This window comes from Homo sapiens, chromosome 3, assembly GCF_000001405.40.
Source record: "Homo sapiens chromosome 3, GRCh38.p14 Primary Assembly".
Classification (NCBI taxonomy): Eukaryota; Metazoa; Chordata; class Mammalia; order Primates; family Hominidae; genus Homo; species Homo sapiens.
Genome location: NC_000003.12, coordinates 130,345,468 through 130,359,494, shown reverse-complemented (window position 1 = coordinate 130,359,494; position 14,027 = coordinate 130,345,468). Strand labels below are relative to the sequence as shown.

General features: G+C 36.1%; 1 protein-coding gene across 3 annotated transcripts in view; it reads right to left on the bottom strand.

The window, feature by feature from the left end:
* Positions 1 to 13,823, bottom strand: part of COL6A5 (collagen type VI alpha 5 chain) — a 139,175-nt gene extending 125,352 nt beyond the window's left edge. For all 3 annotated transcript variants that reach the window (NR_022012.3, NM_001278298.2, NM_153264.7), the window contains exon 1: positions 13,514 to 13,823. The gene's annotated coding sequence lies outside the window, so the exon portion shown is untranslated. The remainder of the gene's footprint in view (positions 1 to 13,513) is intronic.

The following is a 14,027-nucleotide window of genomic DNA, read 5'->3' as shown; positions in this document are numbered from 1 at the left end:
TTATGAGTCCTAAAAATTACATTTTTTTCCTTGTGTGAGAAAAAAATAAACAATTTTTGACCTAAATATTCATTTTTCTTCTAATTTTTTTTAAATTAAACATTTCATAGGCTTCTAAAAAACTGTGCCTAATGGATAAATTGGCCCTGCATGGCTGTGCTCCAACAAAACTTTATTAGGTAGCAAGTTGTTAAACCTGCACAAAACAATTATACATGTTTAGTATTGTTATATAATCTCTATTATTCTGCCTGGCATTGTTTCTTAAATTTTAAAAACAATTGATGGCTCAAATATTCTTCCTAAATGTACCTACCTCATTCATACTGTATTAATAATCATATTAACTGTCAATCTATTTCTATATGTATTTAACCATTTGAAAGTCCTTAAAAATTGTCACAGACTGGATTGACCACACTAGTTGAAATCAACATCCATTCTGATTAGTCAATGCCTACTCATTGTTGACTATTTTTAATATCACTCTTGTATCTACTTCATTCATCTTAACAGCTGCATAGTACTTCTTTATATCAATGTTTATTTAATCAATTCTTTATAAATAGATATTTAGATTGTTTCCAACTTTTTCACAATTCCAAACAATGTTGCAATAAACAACATTGCACAGTGGAAGAAGTATTATATTTCTAAAGGATCACTTACTAGGAATGGAAATTTGGGGTCAAAACGAATGTATATCTAAAATTATGGCCAATATTAGACAACTGCAGCAAAAAGGTATGCCAAATCATATTTTCCCTCAGGAACATATGGAAGTCCTTATTTCCCCACACTCTCACAACATACTTTTGAAGTTTTGGAATCCTGATTGGGGGGAAAAAATTCCACATTACCACATGGCTCTTTGAATTTGCATTTCTATAATTACTAGTGAGATTGGGAAAGGTATTTTTCTATGAACTGTACACTTAAGATTTTTGACCATTTTGCCTGTGAGTGCTTGTCTTTGCATTTATTTTTATGTGCTCTTGATATATTATGAATATACACAGTCCTAGATGTTTTATATTTGTTGCTATTGTAAATTGAATCTTTTCTCTTACTCATGTTACTAAATTATTTATATTGACCACTTTGCTGAACTTTCTTGTTGGCTTGCTTAGACTTTTCCAGTATATTCTCATTTTAAATAAAAATAACAATAATTTTGCCTTCTCCTTTCTCAATGTATATACCTTTTATTATTACATTGACCAGAACTTCAACAAAGTGGTTAAAGAGTGGTGTTGATAATGTTCCTAACTTAATGGTAATTTTTTATTTATTTATTTTTTTTTTTGAGACGGAGTCTTGCTCTGTCACCCAGGCTGGAGTGCAGTGGTGCAATCTCGGCTCACTGCAAGCTCCGCCTCCCAGGTTCACGCCATTCTCCTGCCTCAGCCTCCCGAGTAGCTGGGACTACAGGCGCCCGCCACCACGCCCGGCTAATTTTTTGTATTTTTAGTAGAGACGGGGTTTCACCATGTTAGCCAGGATGGTCTCGATCACCTGACCTCGTGATCCGCCCGCCTCAGGCTCCGAAAGTGCTGGGATTACAGGCATGAGCCACCATGCTCGGCCAGTTAATAGTAATATTTTAAGTGTTTTCTTCATTACACATGTTATGATGGCAGTTGGTTTATAATATATATTTCTAATTATGTTAAAATATTTCTTCTTATTTTAACCTAAGATTTAAGAAAATCAAGAATGGCTGCTAAATTTTACCTTGCCGAATACCTTTTCAGCATCTACTACAATGATCACATATGCTTTTTCTTTTCAAATATAACCATATATTGAACTTTATTTACAAAATATTCGTGAATAGAGTTATTAATATTGAATGACTTTTGCTTTTCTAAAATAAATTCCACTTCATTATCCTACATTTCCTTTTATGTGCTGTTGAATTTTACTTGCTAATATTTGATTCGGGAATTTTGCATTATTGTTCAAAGGTGAGAATGCCTATTATTTTTGTGTGTGTGAGCTATCTTTGCCAGGTATCAATCATGTTGGATTCATAAAAATGATCTGGAAGCTTTTCTTCTTTCTCTTTGTTCTAAACATTTTAAGTGACAGAGCAATTGCCAGTTATTGGGAGTTTTGAAAGGAATTACCCATATACCGACAAGGCCAAAAGTGTCAGCTTTCAGCAATTCTCAGTTCCTTCCAGGTTACCAGCCACTTAGATTTTCTGTTGCTTCTTTAGTTAGATTTTGCAGTTATCATTCATGTGCCCTCCTATCATTTTCCATTTCATCCTGGTTTCAAATTGTTTATTGTAAAGTCAAATAAATTATTCCCCCTTTTTTTCTACTCTCTAGGGTTATGTCTAATTTCTCATTCATAGAGAATACATTTGTTTTCATTCTTCCTTTTTGTCTGGATTATGGTAACTAGTAAATTATACTGTTTACTGTGAGTTTTTCCCAAAAGACATTTTTCATTTACTAATCAATTCTTTTGGTATTCTTTGTCTTAATTCTCAATTTTCTGTGTTTATTTTTACTTCATTCTATTTTACATAGGTTTGTTTTGCTTTACCCCTAACTTGTTGAATTGAATGATTAATCCATTTCTATTCTTTCCTATGTGGTAATAAGAGCTTTTTGAGGCAACGCATTTTCCTGAGTACAGCATCAGCTTTGACATGCAAGCCTGCTCATCATTACTACAGGCCAGATATTCCTCAATTATGGTTTGAAATTTTTCAAGTGACTGCATTTTCAATTTCTTCAATTGAAAATCAAGAGATTTTCCATTTTGATTTGGTTGTTTTATTGGAGTTGTTTTATTTTTCAGTGTGAATGTAGCTCTTTTATTAGTTACTTTTGGTTTTAATGCATTGTGGTTAGAGAATGTAGTCTGTACTCTTTTCTGGAATATGTCAAAGTTTCCCCTATATATAACCTAGTATATATTAGGTCGGTGCAAAAGTAATTGAGGTTTTTGCTATTACTTTTACTTTTAATGGCAAAACCGCAATTACTTTTGTACTGACCTAATATAACGCTCAGTTTTTGAAATGCTTAATAAATGCTAGAAAAGAAACAATATTTGCTCCTGATGATAGAGTTCATTATTAGTCTATTAGTTCATCTTTATTTATTTTTGCCTATCTTAACTCTCAAGGACTAATATGAGTGTCTCAACATTTCCCCTACAACTATATTTTCATCAATTCTCTTATTTCCTGCAGTTTCTGCTTTATGCATTTCTACACCATGCTAGTTATTTCATAAGGTTTATGACAGTTATCTCTTCAATGTGGAACATATTCATAACTTGTTTACCATGATTATCTGACTTTTGATTATCGCTTGCGCCATCACTGTCTGCTTTGGCCCACTGTTGTATCCTCAATTTCTGTCGGTACCTGGTCAATAGTTAAAACTTCATAAATCTTGGTTGAAAAAAAGAAGATGCAAAAAAAGGAAGAGGAGGGCAGAAAAAAGTATGCACTACACCTCAATTTAATATAGTTTTTATTGACCTCAACATTTTCTGATATAACATCATAAACCCTGCTTCCTCTTGGGTAGTATGTCTTTTATAAGCAACTTATCAAATCTCTTTTGTTTTGGTTGTATCTATTGTAGATAGTGTGTGGCTGGATTCAGCTTTTTGATCAGATCTGTGATTCCTTTTTTTTTAAAGTAAGGACTTAAACTCTTTCTATTTTATATTACAAAATATATGTTTGGGCTTACGTCTGTCATCTCTTTTAAATACATAATTCTTTACTTTCCACTACTATTTGTTTTGTTTAATTTATTTTGCCTTATCACGTTTCCATTCATTTTCTATTTCCCTTTCATTAATCATTAACTTTATGTGTGTGGGTATATATATTTTTTATTTTACTAGTTTACCCTAAGTGTGTGTGTGTGTGTAAAATTTTACTAGTTTACCCTAAGTATTTGAGAGGTGTATATATCTCTCTCTAATTTTCACTTAGGGTAAACTGGTAAAATAATTTGTAAATAAAATGTTTTAACTTTTATTTCCAAATTCATCAACTTTAGAAATAAAATAATATTGATAACTTCCACCTATGAAAGATAAAATTAGTCTGCTTACTTTTCCTTTCTCTTCTTTAATTTTTTGTTTGTGTTTTATAGGGGCAAGAGGAATCTCTCAATCTATTATCATGAAATTATCTTTTAAATTTTAGGGATTTTTATATCATAGCTTTTCTTTCAAGAAGTGTAATTCTTGCTTTGTGATTATAATACCACAGTTATTTCAAGTTTATTTTAAAATTTAAATAGAATGTGCACTCCCAGTTTGTATCTATTATAGGTTTTTAATTTTGATTCTTCTTTTTGCCATACAAAGCAACCCACATCAGCACTATTGGATAGAAACACAATGCAAACTGTGTATGTAATTTTAATTTTTTTGGTAGCACATTAACAAAAGTAAAAAAAAGGTGAAATTAATTAAATAATATATTTTACTTAACCCAATATATCTAAAGTATTACAATTTCTATGTATAACCAATATAAAAATTATTAATGAGATATTTTACTTTATTAATACTAAGTCCTCAAAATCTGCTGTGTATTTTACTTCTATGGCACATCTCAACTCAGTCTAGCTACATTTCAAATGGCCAGTAGCCAATACAGTGAGTGGCTACCATACTGGATAGCACAGCTATAAATCATGGAACACGCAGGAAATTACAATATTATTCAGGTCCTTAGCCCATGGCCTTCCATCCCAGAGTCCCAGGCTAAAGAGATCAATGTCTCAGCCTATCATAGTTCTTACAAAGCACACCAGCTGTGAAGCTCTGGGCTAGATGACTCTTCAAGTAGTACTTCTAGGAAGTGACTCTTTTAGGAAGTGGTTAATTAAGAAAGTGTTTCTCAAGCTTTAACGTGCGTATGAATTAACTGGGCATCTTATTAAAATGTAGACTCTGATTCAGCAGCTTTGGAGTGAGCCCTGAGTTCTGCATTTTTAATAAGCCCCTAGAGAATGTTGGTTCTCGGAAAACACTTTGAGTAAGAAGGGATTGGGTTCTACGTAGTGGGGTTTTGCATACCCAATGATGTATCTGACATTTTTTCAACTTGCTGTCTAGAGCAATCTAAATCACTGCTGTTTAATAGAAATATAACACAAGCCACATATAGAATGTGGCTATAGAAATCTTGGGTCCCATTCATTTCCTTTTCCCGCTAAGGTTCTTATATTAATTGGAACCCACTTTCATTCTCTTCTGGAATCTGATGTTGCTGAGACAATTTATACAGCTAGTGTAATTTATTTTTTCTTTCCTGCTTGGATATTTTATCCTTTATCCTTAAATATCATCATGCTAATCTTCCTTCCTTCCTTCTTTCCTTCCTTCCTTCCCCTTTCTTTCTCTTTCTTCTTTTCTTTTTTTGTTCTTTTCTTTTCTTTCTTGTTTGCTTGCTTTTCTTGCTTTCTCTACTTCTCTCTTTCTTTTCTTCCCTTATCCAGAACATGGTGAGACTTTTGATCTGTGAATTCAGATGTTCTTTTACTTTGGGAAGGCTTTCATCTAATTCCACATTTCTTTAATTAAAAGATGCGTCTTTTTCACATTTTAATCTTTTTCAACTATAAATATAAGTGACATATTCATTTAATATTTTATGGTTTTCTTCTATTCCTCCAAAATTAATTTTTAAATTGGCGGTGCATCTTGAAATTACTAACAGTTTGAGATCAAAGAAATAAATGTTTTATATTTATTTTCAGTTCCTTTTGTTCTTTTTTTTTCAGAAATTTTACTTAGCCCTTTGCTGTTTTTCTGTTGTCTGTTTTTCATTATTATTATACTTTCTTACCACTTCTCTCTCTTTTCTTTGTAGTCTGCATTCTATGTGATTTTTTTCCCAAAGCCATCCTCTAAATCAAAACTCTATTTTTCACAAGATTTACATATATCTAGCTGCTTCTAATTTAGGTTTTAGTTTTGTAACAGTTTTATTTTCCTTCTGGACTTTCTTGGCTTTGCTTCTCATTCTCTCTTGCATTTCTTTCAGCTCTTGATTTACAGAACTGTGTTGTCTAATGCCTCAAGTTTGGAGTTTTGTTGACTGAAACAATTCTTGATCTTTGTTTTGCACGTAACAAATGCTTCTTTCCTTTGTGGAAGTATTTTCGCATCAGACCCGTACTGGTGCTTTTGGGTTTTCTGTGTAGCCTTTGGATATGTGTTTGTGGGAGGAGTAAAGTTGAGGAAAGACAGGTCCAACAGGGAGTGCTCCTACATATTTCACATTCATGTCCTTGGCTATTTTGTAGTTTATTGCTATTGAGAACAGAAATGTTCCTCTCATTATAGTTTTAACTGGTCATTGCTACTTTATAAAAAAGCTTTTGATTTTGTCTGGATTTATTTTGCAGTCAGCTATCTTAACATTAGGTTTCATAATTTTCACTTGATTCTCTTATTTACAGTCTATCTGGAACAGCAAACACTTACATGTTTCTTATTATGTGCCAGTCTCTATACTTTGTTTTTTATCTTTACAATTTCTATATGAGGCAAGTACTCTTAGTTAATGTCACAGAAGAAAGTGATATCAAGCACCCTGCCCAAATTCACAAAGCTAGTAAGTAGTAAAACGCTGATTTGAACTAAGGTAGATGGGCTCTTAAATCATCACCCTGCTGTTTGCAAAATTTGATTATGTTATCTCCTTCTGTCCAAATAATTTTTGGAAAATAATATCACAATGGTTAAAATTAAGTATATACGGTTATCTTTATTATCTCATTTCTTCTACAACTTGCCCCCTCTCCACTAAGGAGATGCACTAGTTGTCAGAAGAGCTAAGGTTTACAGTAGCTCTGTACTAACTGGGTATGTGGCCTTGAGCAACTGTTTATCATTCTGAGCCTCAACTTGATCATGAATGAAGTGATAATAAATACATCTACCCATTTTACAAACTCTCAAGGTTACTGTGGGGTTGAAATATAATTATTTATGTAAACTGCTTTAAAATCTAGATAGAGAGATCATTATTACTCTAATTTCACACCGAGAGTACTTCTCAAAGAATCCAGTTGCCAATAAGCTTGTTATTATCACTTTCTCTCTACCATCTGTTAGTCTCTAACACACACACTCTACTACCTACTACCCACAAACATTGCCACTTGCCATTTTCCAACGAATCTTTTTTTTTTTACACCTTAAGTTCTAGGGTACATGTGCACAATGTGCAGGTTTGTTACACAGGTATACATGTGCCATGGTGGTTTGCTGTATCCATCAACTCATCATTTACATTAGGTATTTCTCCTAATGCTATCCCTCCCCCAGCCCCACACCTGCTGACAGGCCCCAGTGTGTGATGTTCCCCGCCCTGTATCCAAGTGTTCTCATTGTTCAATTCCCACCTATGAGTGAGAACGTGCGGTGTTTGGTTTTCTGTCCTTGTGATAGTTTGCTGAGGATGATGGATTCCAGCTTGATCCATGTCCCTGCAAAGGACATGAACTCATCCTTTTTTATGGCTGCATAGTATTCCATGGTGTATATGTGCCACATTTTCTTTATCCAGTCTATCATTGATGGACATTTGGGTTGGTTCCAAGTCTTTGCTATTGTGAATAGTGCCACAATAAACATACGTGTGCATGTGTCTTTATAGTAGAATGATTTATAATCCTTTGGGTATATACCCAGTAAAGAGACCACTGGGTCAAATGGTATTTCTAGTTCTAGATCCTTGAGGAATTGCCATACTGTCTTCCACAATGGTTGAACTAATAAACACTCTGACCAACAGTGTAAAAGTGTTCCTATTTCTCCACATCCTTTCCAGCATCTGCTGTTTCCTGACTTTTTAATGATCACCATTCTAACTGGCGTGAGATGGTATCTCATTGTGGTTTTGATTTGCATTTATCTGATGTCCAGTGATGACAAACATCTTTTCACATATCTGTTGGCTGCATAAATGTCTTCTTTTAAGAAGTGTCTGTTCATACACTTTGCCCACTTTTTGATGGGGTTTTTTTCTTGTAAATTTGTTTAAGTTCTTTGTAGATTCTGGATATTAACCCTTTATCAGATGGGTAGATTGCAAAAATTCTCTCCCATTTTGTAGGTTGCCTGTTCACTCTGGTGGTAGTTTCTTTTGCTGTGCAGAGGCTCTTTAGTTTAATTAGATCCCATTTGTCTATTTTGGCTTTTGTTGCCATTGCTTTTGGTGTTTTAGACAAGAAGTCCTTGCCCATGCCTATGTCCTGAATGGTATTGCCTAGGTTTTCTTCTAGGGATCTTATGGTTTCAGGTCTAACATTTAAATCTTTAATCCATCTTGAATTAATTTTTGTATAAGGTGTAAGGAACAGGTCCAGTTTCAGCTTTCTACATATGGCTAGCCAGTTTTCCCAGCACCATTTATTAAATAGGGAATCCTTTCCCCATTTCTTGCTTTTGTCAGGTTTGTCAAAGATCAGATGGTTGTCGATGTGTGGTGTTATTTCTGAGGACTCTGTTCTGTTCCATTGGTCTATATCTCTGTTTTGGTACCAGTACCATGCTGTTTTTGTTACTGTAGCCTTGTAGTATAGTTTGAAGTCAGGTAGTGTGATGCCTCCAGCTTAGTTCTTTTTGCTTAAGATTGTCTTGGCAATGCAGGTGCTTTTTTGATTCCATATGAACTTTAAAGTAGTTTTTTTTCCAATTCTATGAAGAAAGTCATTGGTAGCTTGATGGGGATGGCATAGAATCTATAAATTACCTTGGGCAGTATGGCCATTTTCACAATATTGATTCTTCCTATCCATGAGCATGGAATGTTCTTCCATTTGTTTGTGTTCTCTTTTATTTTGTTGAGCAGTGGTTTATAGTTCTCCTTGAAGAGGTCCTTCACATCCCTTGTAAGTTGGATACCTAGGTATTTTATTCTCTTTGAAGAAATTGTGAATGGGAGTTCACTTGTGATTTGGCTCTCTGTTTGTCTGTTATTGGCATATAGGAATGCTTGTGATTTTTGCACATTGATTTTGTATCCTGAGACTTTGCTGAAGTTGCTTATCAGCTTAAGGAGATTTTGGGCTGAGACAATGGGGTTTTCTAAATATGCAATCATTTCATCTGCAAACAGGGACAATTTGACTTCCTCTTTTCCTAATTGAATACCTTTTATTTCTTTCTCTTGCCTGATTGCCCTGGCTAGAACTTCCAACACTATGTTGAATAGGAGTGGTGAGAGAGGGTATCCTTGTCTTGTGCCGCAAAGAACCATTCTTGTCCTGCATCCACGTAGCAGATTCTAGTTGCCTATCCAACATTCTGATACTCCCAATTCTCTCCTTCTATATTAACAGAACTCCTATGTTGATTGATGAGGCAATGTACTCAGCTATGAAAATACATCTCCAAACCTTCTTTGTAGCTAAGGTTAGCCAATGAGATATATGTGGAAGATGGATTACCCAGCAGGAAAGTAGGTGTCTTTGCACTATCCCCATTCCTTCTTCTTACTACACTAAATACAGATATAACATTTAGAGCTCCAACTGCCATCTTGGGACCATAAGACAATCTTACAGATAGGAGTTCCATGCCAAGAAGGTAGAATAGAAAGGTAGAAAGAAGCCTGGGCTACTAATAACCATGTACTGCCTACCTGTGGACTTATTTTACATAAGGAATATATTAGCGTATGACTTGGTTAAGCCACTGTTTTTGAGTCTGCTATTACTTGCAGCTGAATATAATCATAATTCATATAATCTAGAGAGATATTTCATATGCACAAGAATACACATTTAAAGCACTTAGCAATATTCACATGTAAATAATTGGTGATTAAAATATAAGAAAATTATAAATTAGTTATCTATGAATTAAAGAGGTCCTGCAAGACCCTTCTTAGGCAATGTTTTTATGTATCACTAGATTATTACATTATGATTTACTTAAATTTTTGTGTTTTCTGATTGTTAAAAGACTGCCCTAGGTGATTAGCTACAAAATTACATAATCATAACTACTAGCATACATTTAATACATACTATGTGCAAAGCATTTTACATAATAATCTCTAATTCTCACTTCAATTATATAAGTTAGCTATAATTATACCCATACCACAGATGAAGAAACTAAGGCTCAAAGAGTTAGCATAGCTTGCCCAAGGGCTTGCAGTCTCTACAAAGATGGTGTTCTTCCATTGCACTACGGTGCCTTTCTGAAACTCTAATTCCATTATTCCATTCTCTTCATGTTTCTTATTATTTTCCAAAATAATAATTAATTAACGAAGTGACTTATTTCATCTTGAGAGAGAACGTTTGAGGTGTCACCTGGGACAATCGAATAATGTGGAACGTTACATTGGCCTTTCAGAGACCAAGTCTTGAGTCACAGTATCATCCCAAAGAGTGGCTTGATGGATGAGAATTCAAATAGGGAGTATTAGAATATTGGGTAGGCAATTAGAAATCTGCAACATGAATACAGGACAAGAATGGTTCCTTGAACTTAAACAAATTCACAACAGAAAAACAAACAACCCCATCAAAAAGTGGGTGAAGGATATGAACAGACACTTCTCAAAAGAAGATATGTGGCCAAAAACATAAAAAAAAGCTCATCATCACTGGTCATTAGAGAAATGCAAATCAAAACCACAATGAGATACCATCTCACGCCAGTTAGAATGGCAATTGTTAAAAAGTCAGGAAACAACAGATGCTGGAGAGGATGTGGAGAAATAGGAACACTTTTACACTGTTGGTGGGAGTATAAATTAGTTCAACCATTGTGGAAGACAGTATGGCGATTCCTCAAGGATCTAGAACCAGAAATACCAATTGACTCAGCGATCTCATTACTGGGTACATATCCAAAGGATTATAAATCATTCTACTATAAAGATACATGCACACATGTTTATTGAAGCACTATTTACAAATAGCAAAGACTTGGAACCAACTCAAATGCCCATCAATGATAGACTGGATAAAGAAAATGTGGCACATATACACCATGGAATACTATGCAGCCATAAAAAAGAATGAGTTTATGTCCTTTGCAGGGACATGGATAAAGCTGGAATCCATCATCCTCAGCAAACTAACACAAGAACAGAAAACCAAACACCGCATGTTGTCACTCATAAGTGGGAGTTGAACAATGAGAACACCTGGACACAGGGAGGGGAACATCACACACCAGGGCCTGTCAGGGAGTTGGGGGAAAGGGAAGGGAGAGCATTAGGACAAATGCCTAATGCATGTGGGGCTTAAAACCTAGATGATGGGTTGATAGGTGCAGTAAACCACCATGGCACATGTATACCTATGTAACAAACCTGCATGTTCAGCACATGTATCTCAGAACTTAAAGTAAAATTAAAAATAAAAAAGAATGGTTCCTTGGAGAATGGCAAGTGGCAATGGTTGTGGGTAGTGAGTTGTGTGCATGTTAGGGAATAGGCCAGAGGAATTTAGGGAAGTATCATAAAGCACCAGGGATTGATGGGGCAACAAAAATGTTTGCAACTGCCACATGCACCACCAGTCAGCCCTTCCTCATAAAGTAGGCATGCATCTCGTTTTATCTTAGATCCCAACTTTGCCCAGTGCCCAACTCCTCTTCCTTTGCACTTTCCACTTGCTCAGTGTGTACTGGATCTGAGATCCTACAAGATTGACAGGGGCATCATCAAAGCAAACTGCAATACCAAGAAAAGTACACATTCCAAGTGAATTTGTGCCCTCCACTCTCAGAGCTGGAGGATTCTGAGTATATGCTCCGGGGTTGAAAATTCTTCCTTTTTGGAAGATGATTTGAACTTGAGGAAGGAAAATCACAACATGAAATACAATGCAAACAAGACATATGTGTCAGCCTTACACTTCATTATAGAAGGATGCTAAGCATATGCTCATTGAATACTTATGAACAATTTCTGCATGTAGCTATGATTCAAGATGGGAAATATTTACAGTGGCAAACTTTATTTTCACAGGCTCATAACATTGCTAGCAATGGCTCCCAATTTTACTGACATTTCCAAAGTTCTTTTCAAACAGAGAGGTGATTAGTTTTTGAAATCTGTGAAAAAGCCTTTTAGATGTTTTAACTTAATATATATATATAAAATAATTAAATATAAAATCATTGTATTGAATGTTTTCTATGCTTTAACATATTAATAATAGTTCAATATCATAACCACACAGGGTCCTCCGGGGAACTACTTTAAGATAATGCTAGCAGGTTCCCTATCAAAACCTTACATCCTGCACCCACCCATTGAAGAAAAGGGAAAACTGAGAAATATCTGCAAATAAATTTGCTCCAGAGTCTCCAAGTAAGTCAGCAGTGGATTTAGATTTCATATTTTAAGTTAAGCCACTGAAAGGAGAATAATAATAACAACACAAAACCATTCATTCGTCATCAAAGATTAATGGCTCAGGTTCTCAGCAGTGATGAAGAGCCTGCCTCATCTGAAGGAGTTATTTAAAAACTTGGGAATTATCTTCTCTACTTTAATTCATATGAAATCTCAGGATTCCTACTTATTCTATTGGTAAATTGTAGCACTGTAAACTTAAATAGAAAAAATGGAAAAAAATCTTGCAGTGTGAATTTTTTCTTAAGGATTTTTGTTCAGAATTCACAAAGTAAATATATATCTTCCAAGATACCTAACCTGACACCCTGAGTTAACAATGATTAATTTCAGAACAAGCAGTTGAATACCAAAAAACAAAATAAATGTGATGTATGAAGCACTACATCAACTTATGAAGATCCTGGTAAGAGAAATAACACGCTACCAGCTTGGGGATCCTGAGAGTACAAAATTCCCTCCAGCACTTTGAAAGAACCTTACCTGGAGACTTGCACACAGTACAAACTCAGAAATAGTTGTTGAAGCTCTGAGTGCTGTTCTTAGGAAATCTCAAAGATCACAGTTTCGTTTGGGACAGAATAGAATTCCCACAAACCAAGAGTGTTTAGAAGTTATTTTTATAACTGAATACACCCCAGTATCTAATGCCTTTGACTCATTACCTACACACCCATTGCTGTTTATTTGGGGGTTCCTGCATTGGGGCTAGGGGCTCAAATGTAGGACTAAGTGACTTCTAAGGCAATGGTTCTCAAACTTTAGCTGCATCAGAATCCCGTGGAGGATTGTTAAAATACACATTCCTTATCCCCATTCCCAGAGATTCTGGTTCAACAGGGTTTTGTGGGGTCCAGGAATTTGCATTTCTAACAAGTTTCAAGGGCAAGGCGATGCTATTAGTCCTTGCATCACACTTCGGATAGCACTGCTCTAAGGTCCTTTCGAATTCTGAGTCTACCTTTCAGAACCTGTCTTAACCATCTGTAAAATTCCTTAGAGCTCAGATTTGGGGGCGTCAACAGGTGCAAATCACCAGAAAGGAGAATCCTTCTCACATCCACCTGTCTACTCGAGGTTTCCTCCCCCGCCTGCCTCAGGCCCCAAGTCCCCGCACCGCATACTTACCCAGCTTTCCCGGGGTCAGGGGACACTCCGGACCCTGGAAACCGCCCCCAACTCTCCAGAAGAGGCTGCACCGAGCTCCTGAGCGCAGTAAACGCGCGCCTCTCGGGCGCCCGCGGCGCAGTTGGATAGAGCGCGCGCCGGAAGCCCTGGTCCGCGCCGCACGCCCTGGTCCGCGCCGCACAGCTGCAGGTGGATTCCCGCAGCGAACGCCTCGTGCCCTGAGAGGGTCTTTTAAGCCGGCGCTGACCCGTGCCCTTGGCCTGGCTCTTCCCTGGGGCTTTTAACTCTTCACAAGTTTTAATGTGAGTGTCCAGAGACGCTCCAGCTGTTTGCTGGCTTTGTTTCAGAGAAGCCGCCGGCTGCCAAATGAACTTAGGGAGTCAGAATTTCTCAGAAACCAAGGGCAATCTTTACTAGCAGCCGAGCTGCGGTCACTTCTACTACTTAGACAGAGGAATCGCCATTTGGCTCCAAGTCCCCCAATTTCTCAGAGGCAGCCTCCCAACGAAAATGC